This window comes from Homo sapiens, chromosome 10 (genome assembly GCF_000001405.40).
Source record: "Homo sapiens chromosome 10, GRCh38.p14 Primary Assembly".
Lineage (NCBI taxonomy): Eukaryota > Metazoa > Chordata > Mammalia > Primates > Hominidae > Homo > Homo sapiens.
Window position 1 is genome coordinate 114005072 of NC_000010.11, and position 18509 is coordinate 114023580.

General features: G+C 41.3%; 1 long non-coding RNA gene across 1 annotated transcript; it reads left to right on the forward strand.

Annotated features, from left to right (window-relative positions):
* The first annotated feature begins 3119 nt into the window (after positions 1–3119).
* On the forward strand, positions 3120–17624 carry LOC105378492 (uncharacterized). The gene is made up of 3 exons (XR_946332.1): positions 3120–3204; positions 12981–13200; positions 17434–17624. It is a non-coding gene; the product is annotated as an uncharacterized LOC105378492 (long non-coding RNA).
* Positions 17625–18509: the final 885 nt, after the last annotated feature.

The window sequence follows — 18509 nt, forward strand, 5'->3', positions numbered from 1 at the left end:
TTGAACTCTTCCTGGCTTGCACAGATCTCTATTTGAATGCCTTGCAAGCATCTTAGATATCACATATCCAAAAATAAACTTGTGAGTTTTTCCTCCACACCAGTTATTCCCTAGTCTTTCTCATTTTAGCAAAAGGCACCACCATCCACCCAATGTCTGAACCAGAAACCTGGGAGTCAAGCTTGATTCTCTCTTTTTCTCTTCCACTCTCATCTTCTGTGGTTACCTCTAAGATACGTCCCCAACCCATCTTCTTCTCTCCACCTGCACTGTTTCCTCCGTAATTCAAGCCACCATCATCTCTTTTCTGGACTGGTGCAATAAACTCAATATCCCCAATACTCCAGAGGTATCTTTTAGACATATCATGTCACTTCCTTCCTTGAAGGCCATCTGTGGCTTCCCAGTGGATATAGAATGAAACCCAAAACTCTTACTACCAAACTGCAAAGCCCTACAAGTTCCACTTCTGCCAACCTTTCCAACCCCATCAAATTTCTTTTTCAACCTCTCTCTTACTACCTTGCAACCCCCATTGGCTTTCAATAAACAAATGACTTTGAGGGAATGAGTGAATGAAATGAATGAATGAATAAAGTGCCAAGATTTATAGGGAAGCAAACCTTGAAGCAAGGTTTTCAGATAAAAATTTAAGAATAATTAAAAGCTTTTACAGGAAAAATACATATAAGAATAAGAGTGTCATCCTAAAATGAATAAAAAGTATTCATTTCAAATTTTCCCAAAGGTACTTGAATAGCACATGTACCCATTCCTGAAAATTTCAGAACATCTTGGTTTGAAACAATGTTTACACTGATCTACCTGAGAGAGTGGGTACCTATTTGCTTCAGACACACAAACACTGTCAATATTCCTAAGAAGGAAAAATGAGAGGGACCTATGCCCACAAAAAGAAAGCCATTTCTTTTCTTTTTTTTTTTTTTTTGACAGAGTTTTGCTCTTGTTGCCTGGGCTGGAGTGCAATGGTGCAATCTCGGCTCACTGCAACCTCTGCTTCCCGGGTTCAAGCGATTCTCCTGCTTCAGCCTCCCAAGTAGCTGGGATTACAGGTGCCAGCCACCACACCCTGCTAATTTTTGTATTTTTTTAGTAGAGATGGGGTTTCTCCATGTTGGCCAGGCTGGTCTTGAACTCCTGACCTCAGGTGATCCACCTTGGCCTCGGCCTCCCAAACTGCTGGGATTACAGGCGTGAGCCACCACGCCTGGCCAAGAAAGCCACCACACACTTGCTATGACTTTGTATAAGCAGCTCAAGATCTCAGTGTCTCTACTTGCCTTTGTCTCTCCTACTCTCAGCGTTGCTATTACAACAAGAAAAATCATTTCCAAGATGTTACCTTATTTTGGAGAAAGTGTCACATACATAAATCCACACCAATATAGAAAAAGTCTGACACTGAATAATGAGAGATTTGTATGTCTTAGGAGTGTCTGAATTGATTCTCTTAATAGAGTGAACTATAGTTATAATGAGGGTTCGAAGGGTGGCCTTCTTGAATTATATATAAATATATGTTGGAGCAAATATTTAAGAAAGTTTTAATATCTTAATTAGAAGCTACTTTGACTCGAAAGATTAAACATAGTTATCATAGGACTTAGTAATTCCACTCCCAGATATATACCAGAATTGAAAACACACATCCACACCAAGATTTGTATGCAAATGTCCACAGCATTATTATTCATAATAGCCAAAAAGTAGAGACAACCCACATGTTTATCAACTGGTGAGTGGATGAAGCATATGTGGTATATTTATATAATGGAGTATTATTCGGCAATATAAAGAAATGAAGTTCTGATACATGCTGCCACATGGATGAACCTTGAAAGCACTTAGTCTACTACGTGAAAGAAGCCAGTGACAAAGGACCACAATTATATTATTTCTATTATATGACATCTCCAGAATAGGCAAACCTGTAGAGAGAAAGTAGATTGGTGGTTCCTTAAGGCTGGAGGTGATGAAGGGCACGGAGGATTAGGGAGTAATGGTTAAGGGATACAGGCTTTCTTGTAGCTATGATGACAATGTTCTATAATTGTGGCAATGATTGTGCAACCTTGTGATATACTAAAAGCCACTGAATTGTACTTTTTAAATGAGTAAGTAGTATTATATGTGAATTATATCTCAATAAAGTTGTTAAAAGCAATAATTACAGCCCACTGTCCCTAAATTATTATTTATTTATTTATTTTAGAGGCAGGATCTTGCTCTGTCACCCAGGCTGGAGTGCAGTGGCACAGTCACAGCTCACTGCAACCTCAAACTCCTGGGCTCAAGGGATCCTCCCACCTTGGCCTCCCAAAGTGCTGGCATTACAGCTGTGAGCCACCACGCCCAGCCTTCTTTCCATTTTTAGAGGAGGGTTCAGGATGTTAATTTAATCAAGACTGAGTTGTTAAATGCCATCATAAATATTTATTTGTTTTTAGTTTATTATTACCATTATTTTGTAGAGATAGAGTCTAACTATGTTGCCCAAGCTTGTCTTGAACTCCCGGCCTCAAGCAATCCTCCCACCTCAGCCTCGCAAAGTGCTAGGATTACAGACATGAGCCGCCATGCCCATCCTAGATTTTTTTAGTGATATGAAATCAGTTAACAGAGTTGATTAAACAGTTGATGTTTATAAACTGGTGGGTCGCATTGCTGAGGCTTTTATTCGTGTGCTTATTTGTAATTACCTTCCTTGACCTGCCTCTAGGGTGAACTTTTAACATTAGTCAAGAAGTTGCCATTTTCAGGCTGTCTTTGTCAGTTTGGACTGTACTAGTACCATAGACTGGGTGGCTTATAAACAGAAATTTCTCATAGTTCTGATGGCTGGCAGTCTGAGATCAGGGTGCCAGCATGGTTGAGTTCTGGCAAGCACCCTCTTCTAGGTTGCACTGCTGACTTATTGTATCCTCATGTGGAGGAAAGAGGGCAGGAAAGTTCTCTGGAATTCCTTTCATAAGGGCACCAATCCCATTCATGAGGGCTGTACCCTCATGACCCAATTACCTCACAAAGGCCCCTTCTCCTAATATCATCACATTAGGGGTTTGTGTTTTAACACGGGGATTTGAAGAGGATGTGTTTAGTCTAAAACAAAAGCTAGGCATTTTCTGCACCTTTGAGGATTTACCTAGCCGGGTCCTCCAGAAGACAGAGCAATCTACCTGTCAGGTATTTATGGTCTTTCTCCACTGGATAGCCTTTTCTTTTGTATTTTAAAATATTTATATTTATTCCTCACTTATGAATACAATGTCACTTTGATTAAAAATTGTGTTCTTACAATGGAGCTGTTCAATCACCATGGCAGAGCAGTCTTGACCATGTCTTCTTGTCACCCACTCAGCTGTAACTAAACTCTCCGGTATGATCTGAACTTGACCTTCAGACAATGACAGCCCAAGCATGTTGTTGGTTTAATGTCATGTCAGAGCTGTGACCAACAATAGCCATAATTGTGTCCAAACAGTCAACAATGTCAAACAAGACTCTCAAGGGTACATTGTGCTGGTAAAACTGAGTTTGATGACATTGGCTGCTCTGTCTAGCAAACGTTCTGGATTCATTTTTATTTTGAAGTTTTACTCCTCTAAGTGTTTCTATAGGAGTATTTTACATTTTAACCTTGTTCAGTCTCTGTGTTCAAGGTTGACAATCATTTTAATGGTCTAGGTTGCATCCATTTTGGTAAAGGAAAGCGACTTGTTTCCAAAGTCTCCAAAGACTATGGTGCTTTTTACCCACACACGGTGGCTTTTTGGAAGAATTCCAGAGAACATATTGTCATTATTGATAAAACAAACGAACAAACAAAATTATATTCCCCAGAGTCATTGCAAGCGTATCTTTCATGGTTATAGATTTTAACAACCTTGAGTTAAATTATTGTTGCACAATCCCACATTGATCCATGCAGTAAAAAAGACACATAAATCATAAGAAATATTCTAAATATTTCAAAAGAGAAGATGCATAGGCCAATGACAGGGTTTATATTTAGGAAATATGAATGTAACAATTCCCATAGAATCGTCAGTGCTGTGCTCACCAAGAAAATGGCCATTTTAAGTGGTATAAAATACCACTTGCACTGAATGATTGACTTGATTTTCCTTTGGTAATAACTTTGGTAATAACTTTCCTTTGGTCTGTTATGTTAACACAAGGAAGTGTGTCACTAGCTTTTGTTTTGTTTGTAGTTTAAGTGTTCCATACAATAGCAAACTAGGAACGCATTTTATTGGGGAGGAAGAGTAATTTATTCTTTTCCGTAAAACTCAAACCACGATGAATTCCAAGTTCCCCAAAATAATTTTTGTGTAGATGATAAACAAGCAGTGGAATTCCAAGGCATGAATCACTTATCTGTTTGAGTAAGTTGTCAGGAGCTCTAAAGCATTGGAGAATGGGGGCTGCTGTGGGTGATGGATTGGAAGATGGGTCGCCCCAACTTTGGATACACAGCAGTGAGCAAGGGTGGGCTCTGGAAGTGCAGCAGGTACATATGACAAGTAGGGAAAGCTTCAGAGTGAAAAAAATGTAAATACGACAATGAATTATTGAACTTAGACACATATTCCAGCAAAAGAAGCAGGTGGCTGCATTTCCATCTTGAATCAGTGAGAAACAAAACAAATGATTCATCAACCTGTGGTCTCTGGGAGGAGCAGTGAGTTGGAGACTGCCAGTCAGCCATGCTCTTAACACCTGTGACAAGTGAAGACCCAGTCAAGGGTCAAGGGCCAAAGGTCAAGGATCTCTGGACAGCTAAAACCCTTAAACAAAAGTCCTAGGAATGCTATGCTAGATTTCCTCTATGCACCAAAACTAACCCACCTCACTTTCTTTTAAAATAATTGATAACATTGAATTTTCCTGAATATAAGAATAACATGCATTGTAGAAAAAAAGACAAGTGTAAAAAAAATTACATATACTTTTTCTGCTCTGAAATAATTACCTTTAACAGTGTAGCATTTGTCTTTATAGTTTCTGTACAGATATAGTTATGACACAATTGGAACCATGATAAATATCCAGTTTTGTATCCTGCTTTTTCACTTACTGAAAAACCACTTAATATTATATTGTGAGCATTTCTCCACATCATAAATAGCCTTAGAAACATGATTTTTAATGGCTGCAGAACATTCTATTCCATGAATGTATCATACTTAACTATATCCCTACCTTAGGCATTCAGATTGTTTTTGACTTTTCATCATTATGAATGGTTCTGTCATGAACATTCTTCCTCACTTATTTTTAACAACCCAGGGCAGAGGAATCTTTGTGTTCAGTGTGGATAAAATTGCTAACATGGTCAGAAAAACGATGGCACATACTTAGGCAGGAGTTTCAAAATACTTCATCCACCAAAGATTTAGATCTGGGTGCTCTGGAGATGGCATTTCCAGTGAATAAGCACACAACCAGCCAACCTTTGCTCAACATTTTATGTCTAGATTCCAACTTGTCTTGAAATAAGGCCAGTCAACAACTTGCTTCCTCTAAGGGGTAACCAAGCCTCATGTACATGTAGTAGCACAAACATCCCTGATGAAGCATGACAGCACATGTCAGATGCCCAGGATGAGTGACTGCGGCAAAATGGTGAAGAAGGGAAAAGGGGCCTGTTGGCTCCAGCCTGATTTATTCATGTATTTAATTAGTGGTAAAACATACATAACATGACATTTACCATTTTAACCATTTTTAAGTGTACAATCAGTGCCATCAGGCACAGTCACATTGTTGTGCAACCATCACCACTATCCTGTTCCAGAACTTTTCATCATCCCAAACAGAAACTCTGTACCTATTAAACAATAATTCCCCCATTTCCCCCTCTCCCCAGCCCCTGCTAACCATCATTTTACTTTCTGTCTCTTTACATTTGGCCGGGTGCAGTGGCTCACGCCTGTAATCCCAGCACTTTGGGAGGCCTAGGTGGGAGGATCACCTGAGGTCAGGAGTTCGAGACCAGCCTGGTCAACATGGTAAAACCTCGTCTCTACTAAAAATACAAAATTAGCTGGGCATAGTGGCAGGCACCTGTAATCCCAGCTACTCAGGAGGCTGAGGCAGGAGAATCACTTGAAACCAGGAGGTGGAGGTTGCAGTGAGCTGAGATCAAGCCATTGCACTCTAGCCTGGGAAACAAGAGGGAAACGCCATCTCAAAAAAAAAGTTGTCTTATTCTAGCTACCTCATATGAGTGAAATCATACCATATTTGTTCCTTCATGTCAGGCTTATTTTACTTATTTCACAAGGATGACTATTTGCAACACCGATCAGAATTTCATTTCTTTTTAAGACTGAATATTATCCCATTTTACGTGTATATCACATTTTGTTCATCCATTTACCTATTGATGGATATTTGGGTCGCTTCCACTTTGGAACTATTGTAAAAAATGCTGCAATGAATATTCGTGTGCAAATACCTGTTTGATACCCTGCTTTTGATTCTTTGGGGTATATTCCTAGGAGTGGAATTACTGGATCATATGACAATTCTAAGTTTAATTTTTTGAGGAACTGTGAAGCCGTTTTTCACAGTGGCTGCATCAGTCTCCTCTCCTATCAGCAGTGCAGGAGGGGTCCATATCCTTTGACAACTCTTGCCTATTTTCTTTCTCTTTTTTCTTTTCTTTTCTTTTTTTTTTTTTTTTTTTTTTTTTTTTTGAGACAGAGTCTCGCTCTGTCGCCCATGCTGGAGTGCAGTGGCGCAATCTCCGCTCACTGTAAGCTCCTCCTCCCGGGTTCACGCCATTCTCTTGCCTCAGCCTCCCGAATAGCTGGGACTGCAGGCGCCCGCCACCGTGCCCGGCTAATTTTGTTTTTGTATTTTTAGTAGAGACGGGGTTTCACCGTGTTAGCCAGGATGGTCTCGATCTCCTGACCTTGTGATCTGCCTGCCTCAGCCTCCCAAAGTGCTGGGATTACAGGCATGAGCCACCGCGCCTGGCCCTTTCTATTTTATTTTATTTTATTTTTTAAATAGTAGCCATCCTCATGGGTGTGAAGTGGTGTCTCACTGTGGTTTTGATTTGTTTTTCCCTCATGACTAATGAGGCTGAACATCTTTCCATGTGCTTATTGACCATTTGTCTTTTTTTTTTTTTTTTTTTTTTTTTTTTTTTTTTTTTTGAGACGGAGTCTAGCTCTGTCGCCCAGGCTGGAGTGCAGTGGTGCGACCTTGGCTCACTGCAAGCTCCACCTCCCGGGCTCACGCCATTCTCCTGCCTCAGCCTCTCTTGCAGCTGGTACTACTGCCGCCCGCCACCATGCCCAGCTAATTTTTTTTGTATTTTAGTAGAAACGTGGTTTCACTGTGGAAGCCAGGATGGTCTCGATCTCCTGAGCTCATGATGCACCCGCCTCGGCCTCCCCAAGTGCTGGGATTACAGGCGTGAGCCCCCGCGCCCGGCCTTATCTATCTTTTTTGAAGAACTGTCCACTGTTTTTTAATTGGGTTGCTTGAGGAAGCTGCTGTGCTTGGGACATACAGACACCCAGCAGCTGGGTGCTTTCCACACAGAGCGCTTGTTGGCAAGGAACACTGATTCCCCAAAAATGCACAATTCAGAAGGGAGTTATTATGAGGCAAAGGGGGCTCCTCCTGGGATCCTGACACGGGAAGTTCTGTGGGCCTCCAGGGACCCGGAAAGGCGTCAGGCCGCTACCCTGTCCCTGCCCCTCTCTCTGGGGCTGTGTGGTCTTGTCTCCGCCTCTCCCTGCACGTCTGCTCCCCCAACCCACCCACCAATGGCAGGCAAGAGCTTCATCCCTGCTCCCCACCCTTAGCTGCTGGCTTCCCATGACACAAGCCCAGGCCTCATCTTCACATGACCCCAGGGCTCCAGGGTCCCCCAGTAGACTCAGGCTTCTCTGTCCCTTCATTCGGAATTTGTCCTCTGAGGTCAGAAGCCTTTCCTGACCCAATCAGCTGTGGTCATAGGGCCAGTCGCTGAAGGCAAATACTGTCAAGCCGGGTCCTGATTTCAGCAAGGGCTGTGGGAGGGGAGCACTTCAAATAAGGGTACATCATGGGTGGGCAATGATGGCTGTGCTTAGCACACAGAGGAGAAATGTAAAGCTTTCCAACCGTCTAATATCCCATTACTTACTATATCCACCTCTCAAACCCCCGAGAGCATTTGACATTGGATATTATTTGCCCTTGGCTTGATGTATTGTCTTTCAGGATAACGCGGCTGTCATGCTCAGAAGGCATCTTTGGATGTGGATGTGACAATGGCGTGCCCAATGCGGAGAACAATTTCCACTTCCATTCCAAAGACTGGATACCGAGCTAAGCTAGGCAAACTTGCTTGATTCAGAGTATTTCCACGTGAACCTGCTGCCAGCTGGTCTCCTTAGCGCTACATGCAAGCTATAGTCTCTTCTCATCTTTTCATTTGGTTCGAAGGGAAAAAGGCAATCATCTTACTTTTAGGGTAGTCAGAACCTGTGGAAGCCAAACAGCAGGGTGATGTACGCCCACAGCCTCTAGAGTCAGCCTATGTGAAACCCAAATACACTTGTGAAACACTAAATTTTTATCATTATTTACAGGTTATTGATGACCTGTAGTGCACACAATAAGTGATGACGCCTTGTACTTAGAACAAGAGGCTATTAGAAATGAATTCATTTCTTTGAAATGTAAACCAAGGATAAATCACAAATTTTTTCACTGTTCATCCCAGCCCCTTATGTCTGGATGGGACATCTATTTAAATGCTGTTCACATTAGTTCCTATGAAAGGAGAGGTGGAAAAGTGCCTGGTTGTCAGTGGTCCACTCCCAAAGGAGAGAACAGTCTTTTCTGTCTTTGTCCTATGGTGATAGAGCTGACCAAAATCCCATTTCCATTCTACGTCATCTTAGGAGGAAAATCTTGTGAAGGATAAAATCAAAAAGGGAGACAGTCAGATAGTGAGAAAAATTGAAGACAACACCTACTGACAGGTACACTCAGAGAATTTGTAGGATGGGGGAACTGAGGTGGGTGGGATGGCATTTTGTATTTAGTTCATTACCACACCTTTTTTAAAAAAGAATAATATGCTTTATTTTTTATAGCAGTTTTAGGTGTACAAAAAATTAGGCAGGTCATAGAGAGAATTCTTATATAACCCCTTTCCCATCACACAATTTCCTCTATTACAAACATCCTCCATTAGTGAGATTCATTTGTTACAACTGGTGAGCCAATATTATGAACCAAAGTCCATAGCTTAGGGTTCATTCTTTGTGTTGCATGTCTTACGGGTTTTGACAAATTCCTAATGCCATGTATCCACCATTATCATGCAGAAGGGTTTCACTGCCTTTAAAATACCCTGTGCTTCACCTGTTCATGCCCCACCCACCCACCCATGCAACTAGTGGCAAACACTTTTTTTTTTCTTACTGTCTCTATAGTTTTGCCCCCATGCTGTTTTCAATGGAAACTGGAACAGCAGTGAACACCGGTCAGGATGGGTTTAGAAGAGTGATGGACTCAGTTTACCGAGCACAAACTTACTTTGTGCCAGGTACTCTCTCAAGTACTTTACAAAACTTAGCCCACCTAATTCTCATCATTGGGTAAACTGTTCAGGTTACATAGCTAGGAAGGGGTGGACCTGGGACCAGAACCTAGAGAGACTACAGAGGCCATGCTTAACCTCTGTACTGCACCTCCTCCTCAATTTCTGGCTATTCTAAAATTAACATCATGACTATTTTTCCTCTTGAACCAAATGAAAAGATATGCAGATGTTAGGACTTACTGTGATTAGCATAGATTTGTTCCATTGGTCTTAAAATCTAAAAGTTTATTTAGAACCAAGTTGAACATCCCAAATCCAAAAATCTCCCATTTGAAATGCTTTAAAATCCAAAACTTTTGAGAACCCACATGATGTGCAAAGGAAATGTTCATTGAAGCATTTCAGATTTCAGATTTTGGAATTTGGGATGCTTCAGTATAATGAAAATATCCCAAAGTTGAAAATTCAAAACACTTCTGGTCCCAAGCATTTTAAATAAGAGATACTCAACCTGTATAACATGTACATTAGAAAAAAGTAACCATACTTCTTTTTGTTTTAAGATGAAATTATCTAGCAAAAATAGACACATGGGATTATATCAAACTTAAAAACTTTTGTGCATCAAAGGACACAATCAATGAAACAAAAAGGCAACCCTTAGAATGGGAGAAAATATTTGCAGATCATATCCCTGATAAGTATTTAATATCCAGAATATGTAAAGAACTCCTATAACTCAACAACAAAAAATCGAATAACCCAATTTGAAAATGAGCAAATAACTTGAACAGACATTTCTCCAAAGATGATATAGAAATATCCAATAAGCATGTGAAAAGATGTTCAACATCACTAATCATCAGAGAAATGCAAATTAAAATCAAGGTGAGTTATTAGCTCACATCCATTAGGATGACTATCATCAGAAAAATGGAAAATAAGTGTTGGCATGGATATGCAGAGATTGGAACCCTTGTGCACTGTTAGTGGGATTCTAAAATGGTGCAGCCGCTATGGAAAATGGTATGGAGGTACCTCAAAAAATTAAAAATAGAACTATTATATGATCCAGCAGTCCCAATTCTGGGTATATATCCAAAAGAAATGAAAGCAGAGCCTTTAAAGAAATATTTGCACATCAACGTTCATAGCAGCACTTTCACAATAGCCAAGATGTGGAAGCAATCCATATGTTCATCAATGGATGAATGAATAAACAAAATGTGGTATATCCATACAATGGAATATTACTCTGCCTTAAAAAGGAAGGAACTCTCAACACATGCTACAACTAGGTGAACTTTGAGGACATTATGCTGAGTGAAATAAGTCAGACATATAAGGACACATACTGTACAATATCACTTATAGGAGTTATTTAGAGTAGTCAAATTTGTAGAGACAGAAGGTAGAATGGTGTTACACCACCAGAGGCTGGAAAGGGGGAGAAATGGGAAGTTAGTATTTAATGGGTACAGAGCTCCAGTTTGGGAAGATGAAAAAGTTCTGGATATGGTGCTGGCAATTGTTGCACAAAAATGTGAATGTATTTAATGCCACTTTATACTTAATGAGTGTCCTTAATGGACACTTGAATATTCCTAAGATGGTAAATTTTATGTTGTGTATATTTTACCACAACAAAAAAATTAAGCTACCTAACTTCTTTTCCCCTAAGAGAACCAGCCTGTCCTGAAAGCTTAACTGTGGTAGGGAATGCGTTCAGGCAAGAGAAGCTAAACTGGAGACAGGCTATTGCTCTGGCTTTCTCAGAAGTTCCATGTAGAATCTAAGACTGACCGCAGATCTCACTGTCACTGAATTCCAAGTTTTGAGAGATGTTCCATCTGAGAGAAGGAAGAAGCAACTGGAAAATAACAGATGATAAGCAAAGGCCTGCTTCCTTGACCAACTGGTGGCTTCTAAGATTCCTGGGATTCAGAGAGTTGGAAAGATCAGCCCACTTAAGGCTCATGACAACCCCATTTTACCTCTGGGCAGACTGAGGTGTGGATATTTGAGATTAACTTACCCTAAGTCACACACAGCTAGTAAGCAGGACCAGGAATCAGACTCTTCATAGTCTGACCCCAGAGGCCACATTCTTATTCCCTGTGCTCTTCTGTCTCAGAGGAGGGAAGGGACCAACAAGCCAAAGACACAAATGCAAATAAAGGATAAAAAGGCGAGGACATACCCAGCCTGCACCAGACACTGATGTTAGCTTGTTCCGTTATGGCACCCTTCTAAAAGGCAGCTGCTATTTCTGTCCCATTTTACAGACAAGGAACCTGAGGTCTGGAGACAATTGAATCAGCTTCTCCAGCTTCCACTGCCAGTGAACCCCATTCTGATTCACCAATCCCAGGCTTTTCCAGATGTCTGTCATGGCTGGAAAATAGAAGTTTCTTCACATAATGCCATTTTTCAGAGGCAGAACTGGTCCAGATTTCTGGAGCTCTTTTCTAATTTTTTTAACTTTAAAATCCTAACCATTCCTAATCCTGGAGTGTGTCAACCATTTCACCTCTTTCCTGCAAGCTAAGAGGCCACTAAACAACCTTGGCTGGAAGGGCTGAGCAGCCAAACCCATAGAGCGACAGAAACCACCAAGGTCAAAGTCATGGGCAGTTCTAGTCTGAGTCCTGCATTTTTGAAAGACAAGACTCCATCTTGAGAAAAAAAAATATAAAGCTAGAGGAAAATGTTGAAAATGGGAATCCACCAACGTGGAAGGCTTTACCCAAGATTTTCAAAGCTAAACACTGTGGGAAACAGTAGCAGATGGGCTGAACATATTGCAGGGATTGGACCGCACAACTGCCGGCACCGTGTAAGTTGGACCAAAGCGAGGAAAATCACAGGCTCCAAAATAGCTCAAATGCAACTGGGGAAAATGTGAAATAATGTGTTGTGGTAGAGAGCACTTCAACTTGTCGCACACACTAATGAGTCCAGGATACCCAAGGAAATAGACCTTCAGCCAAATCCAGCAGCAGCCATGGGCAAGAAGCAACAGGGATTCTCCCAAAAGCAGATTTCAGGAGCAACCACAGCTTGGGGGCTTTTCAGAAAGGGTCATCTTGGATGGGCCTGGGAGGGGTCACCCAGTGGAAGTGCTGACTGGAAGAATAAATGTGATGCTTTGAAGCCCAGACAGATTCAGCTGCCAAATCTTGTCTCACTCCCTTTCACATTCTCCTTATGCCTCTCTCCCTTCCCACCTCTGCCTTCCCGAGCCAGATGCTCCTCACCTCTCCCCTGCTGCCAGCTGCAGGATGCAGCTACCAACAAGTGACTGTCCTGCTCATAAACCCCTAGGGGCCCTCCACTTCCTACAGAATAGACTTCTACCCCCTCAATTTATCCCTCGCTGCTCAACCAAACCAACTTTCCACAGGTGCCAGGACTTCCTCTCTGTTTCCGGATCACACTCCGTGACCCCATGAGCTCCTCAGGACAGGGATGATGTCACCATCATTTTTGTGTCTTCAACTCCTCCACCTCATAGATTCTCAGTGAATGTTTGCTGAATCAGTAGCGCCAGCTTCACATGCTTTAGAGGCAGAAGATACAAGCTGGAATCTCAACTCCAGCACTTAATAGCTTTGTGATCTTAGGTAAGTTACCTAGCCTCTCTGAGTCCTATGGCCTATGTCAGAAAATGGGGTAAGTGTGTCTACCTTATTGAATCATTTTGAGAAATAAATGGGCAAAACATGTAAACTGCTCAGTCAATCACAAACTCTCCATAAATGTTTAAAAAAAAAAAATCCCTCCCCTGCCCATCTAAAAGTTACCTGTGTTCTAAGACCCTGCCACCGAGCTTGTTCCTTAAGGCTCAGGGAAGGAGAGAATCCAGCTAAAAGATTTCAGTGGCCTTTATTGGAAGGAGCTGTCTGTGACAGTGCCCAGTTTTAGTTATTTCATAAGAAAGACAACTGAGAGAGCTGGGCGTGGTGGCTCATGCCTGTAATCCCAGTACTTTGGGAGGCTGAGGCGGGCAGATCACGAGGTCAGGAGAATCAAGACCATCCTGGCTAACACGGTGAAATCCCATCTCTACTAAAAATACAAAAAATTAGCCGGGCATGGTGGCGGGCACCTGTAGTTCCAGCTACTCGGGAGGCTGAAGCGGGAGAATGGCGTGAACCCGGGAGATGGAGCTTGCGGTGAACCAAGATCATGCCACTGCACTCCAGCCTGGGAGACAGAGCAAGACTCCATCTCCAAAAAAAAAAAAAAGAAGGACAGCTGAGAGAAAACAGGTGAGAGAAGAAATGTTGAAAGGACTGGTGAGGAGGAAAGAAAAACAAGACTAAGACTAAGATAGTGATCGATTCAGAAAGAGAGAGACGTACAGTAGAAGTTTTCTGTCTTCTGGGGAGCATCATAAGATTGTTCAGTTCTTATGAGTTTCAGCTACTTGAAGAGATTAATAATCAAAACCAAGGACAGTAAACTTAGAATAAATGAGTGCACATTTGCTTTATGAAGTTGGGCTTTTTCTGTTAGCTAAAACAAGGAGAGAAAATTCTTCTCAAGAACCATTTAGGTGACTGCCCCCTCTCCAGCCACCCACCTCTGCTGAGCCACAGAGGCCTAGATTCTTCAACACACAGGATTTTTCTCTTTTTTGAGACAGGGTCTCACTCTGTCACCCATATTTAGTAGAGAAAGAGTTTTGCTATGTTGCCCAGGCTCGTCTCAGACTCCTGGGCTCAAGCCATCTGCCTGCCTAGGCCTCCCAAGGTGCTGGGATTACAGCATCAGCCACCGCACCTGCCAACACACAGAATTTTTCATTGAGATGATAGTGCTCCAAGTCCTGATGCAAACAGACTAACCAGGGCTCCAGAGCGGTTGGGTCACCTATATCACTAAGTAGGCCCTCCCCTGAACCTTTATATCCCCCGCCATCAACTCCCATACAATCCTCTTGTTCTCTGTTCCTCCTAGATAGTAAGCATTGTCCTCTGTTCCTTATCCCGAAATATTACTATTTTAGTGAAACTTTTTGAAATTGCAGGATGCAACCTATTTGTGGGTGGTAAAATCAGTTCAGTGGGTTGCAATCAACTATTTTTTAAAATGAGATAGAAAATAATATTGAATCACACACAGTAATGTGAAGTATCATTTTATGAAACTTTTATCTCAGTTACATATGTACAGGTAATATGTACTTTTTACTGTGAGTCTCAGTCAAAAATACTTAAAAAACTGACTTGGGTATCTGTACAGAACCAGTTATGATCATGTCTGATTTCTTTTTATATGTACTATAGCACCTAGCACCCTGCCTTAACACAGAGAAAATGTCCACTAAATATTTATGGAATAAACAGGAATGAATGAATTAATGAATGCACAAATGGATAAAGTACATGAAGTATTTCAAGAGTGAGAAAGCAGATATGGTAAGGTAGAAAAAAGTAAGACTGTCTTTGGGAAAATTTCTTTTACTTTTGGGGAAAGCTTGCTCATTTCAAGGCTCTAAGGTCCTGTTCATCTTGCATAACTGAAGTTTTGATTGGACAAAATATCCACTTGATAATTTCCTACTTCCCAATGTAGTTTATATTGCATGAAACTAATATAACAGTCTTTCAGAACTAGTGTAGTGACATGCATAACAAGATTGGAAGTAGATAATTTTCCATTTTAATGTTAGTGTCATGTCTTACTTAAAATTATCAGTGACAGTGGACGTGTTGGTAAAAAAAGGAAACAAGCTAAACATCCATCCACTGAGAAATGGATTAACAAAGTGGTCCATCCATGCAATGGAACTACTCAGTGATAAAAAGCGATGAAGTATTGATACATGAAACAACATGGATGAACTTTGAAAACATTATCCTAAGTGAAAGAAGCCAAACACAAAAGACAGCATATTGTATGATCCCATTCATAAGAGCTTTATAAACAAAAGGCGGATCAATGGTTGCTTGGGCCGGCGAGTGAGAGTGGGGATTGACTGCAAACAAGCCAAGTGATGTGGTTTGGCTGTGTCCCCACTCAAATCTCATCTTGAATTGTAACTTCCATAATTCCCATGTGTTGTAGGAGGGATCCAGTGGGAGATAATTGAATCATGGTGGAAGTTTCCCCCATACTGTTCTTGTGGTAGTGAATAAGTCTCAGGAGATCTAATGGTTTTGTAAAGGGTTTTCCCTTTTGCTTGATTCTCATTCTGTTTCTTGCCTGCTGCCATGTAAGGTGTCTTTTGCCTCCCGCCACGATTGTGAGGCCTCCCCAGCCATGTGGAACTGTGAGTCCATTAAATCTCTTTTTCTTTATAAATTACCCAGTCTCGGGTGTGTCTTTATCAGCAGCATGAGAACGGATGAATACTCCAAAGGAGGGAATGTTTTGAGGTATTGGAAGTTTTCTAAAACTGAATTGTAGTGATGGTTGTATGGTTGTACAAATGGACACATTTTCTGAAACTTATTTAACTGTGCACTTACAGTGCATGAATTTTCTGCTATGTAGATTATACCTCAATGAAACTGTTAAAAATAATTACAGATGCTTTGAAATGCCTTCTGGCAGTACAGGAGAAAGTTTCCCTTCTACTTCACAGTTGTGGATTTATTTTTTGGAAAACTGGACTTCTCTAAAAAGTCAGACCATTATGTAACCTGGCCGCTTCCCCCTTTTCCAGGAACGCGGGCAGAACATCAATGTCTGTCTATCTGCCTGCTGGTCAGCTTCCTTATGAGGAGGCACAATACCAACTGGCAAGCAGGGCCTTGCTGGTCATTTGCCCACTCACTCAGCAATGGGGATGCCAGGGGGGAAATAATTCCTTTGAAGCCCTTTCTATACTGTTGTGCTCCTCAGCAGACAGGATGTAGGGTCTTTCCTATGCTGCCAAAATCAGCAGCAATTGTCAAAAGAAAACACCAGACCAGTACAATAAATGTGAGGGATTTTTCTCACCAAATAACTCATTTCACTTTGAAAGTACAAAGCAGTTACATTTCTAACCTTGCAACTTGAAATCATACAGCTATTCAAAGCTAATGATCAAGGCAGGCAGCATTTTGAAGAAACAATTGCCATTTTCCTCCTTGCTTGTTCAGATAATGAAGGAATGTGTCTTACACATCTTCTACCCTCTCCTACCCTCCTTCCAAATAGTACCCTGGAACTGTGCTAAGTGCGTACTAAGCTCTGGATAAATACTTGTTGATTTGATTGATTCTTTGTCTACCCTAGTGACAATGGCCAGATTAGAATTGATGGGATGATTCCCGAAAGCTGGGAATGGAACACCCTGTACACTGTGGTCTCAGTAATTTGATTAATGATGATGTGTTTTACAATGATTACTTTCAAATCACAAATCTCCAGAATCCCTCAAATCCAAACTGGGTCTGGAAGGCAGGGGGAAGCTTAACAATATTTTGGCTCTCATCAGTTCATGTCAAAATTACAAACCAATTCCAAGTAGGTGAAAGTTATTATAGCTCACAGTTATATGAAAACCAATTTCAGCATTGCTAATGTTTAAAACAGACAGGTGCTGCGTTCAATTTTTTTTAAATGTCACCAGAGTTTCCACGTGATTTATAATCCTAATTCAAAAAAAGCAAAGCTTATGTGAGTCCTTGGCAAAACGCACAAAATACAAACTAAAATGAACAACAAATGGCAACTCGATATTGAACTGGGAATTACATTTTGTGCTGTTTCATTAACTTTTCCAAGTATTTCTTTCTAAAATGCACTCCTGGCTACCCCCGACACACACACGAGATAAAGGAAGAGTGCACACAGATGGCTCCCGTCCAGGCCACTCAGCGGCTCAAAGTGAATGTGATTCCTGTGTTCTCTCCATGCAGATCGTCAATGATGAAGCATGCAGTAAATAACCCTCCCTCCCTGGAAGTGAAGACAGCCTGTGGGGGAGAACTGGCTCCATTAAAGGCTTCAAGCCACAGGAGTTGTTTTCTCCGGAGATGATGAACGTGGGCTGGAAAAAGAGACAAGAGTCACCTACTTCGTGCAGCTTTTTCCCCCCAAACTGCTAAAAGTCCTTTACCCTCAAATAAAATCATCAAGAGAGAGCTGGAAATGGCATCTCTTGCCACAGATCTGTGTTTTATTGTTATTGTTTTCACATAGTATTTACTTAAAGTCTGCTGTATATCCAGCCCATGTGTAACTCACCAAATTTTGAGCATCTTTTTTTGACTGTGCCTGCCTATCCAGTTCTTTGTAAGATCCTTGAGAAATAGAATTGAGCCTTTTCTTCTTTGTAGCTTTGGCCTCTCAGCCAAGGCCTGGCAAAGAGTGTGCATTCAATTAATGTTGGTTGAATGGATGAATAGAAATGAATGGATGGGTGGGTGGATGGATGGATGGATGGATGGACCAATCAGTCAATAGATCTCCCCATTTTTAAGCTCCTGTGTGTCAAAGTTCCCTGGCATTGAGATTGTCCTATCAATGCACAGCATTAAATTCCTGCCGTCCATCTGTTTCGATGGTAAGCTTGGAGAAATACTTGTGGAAAGAGTTCCTTGCTTCTCTGATGCCACATGTGGAATGCTCTTTGCCAAATGCACTATTTGTCACTGAACACCACTCTTCCTGATATCTTATTCCATTTATAGATTCTGGCTCTGGAGTGCAAGATTTTATTTTTTGAATTAAAATGTGATAAGAGACCTTTCAGTTCCCAGAGTTTCTTCTCTTGTCTGTAGGTCAGAAGTTATTGGCTAGAGTCCCAGTATCTCCCTTGAGCTACCGCATGCGTCTGCTGACCAAATCTTCTTAGCCTTCAAACCAAATGATGTCATTCTTTATGGTGCATTTTTCTAACAGATTTACACTGACGTACACACACATACTTTTAATTTCCCACTGCTTACAGAACTCGCAAACAAGTGAGCAAGTTGTAATTCTACATGGTGAG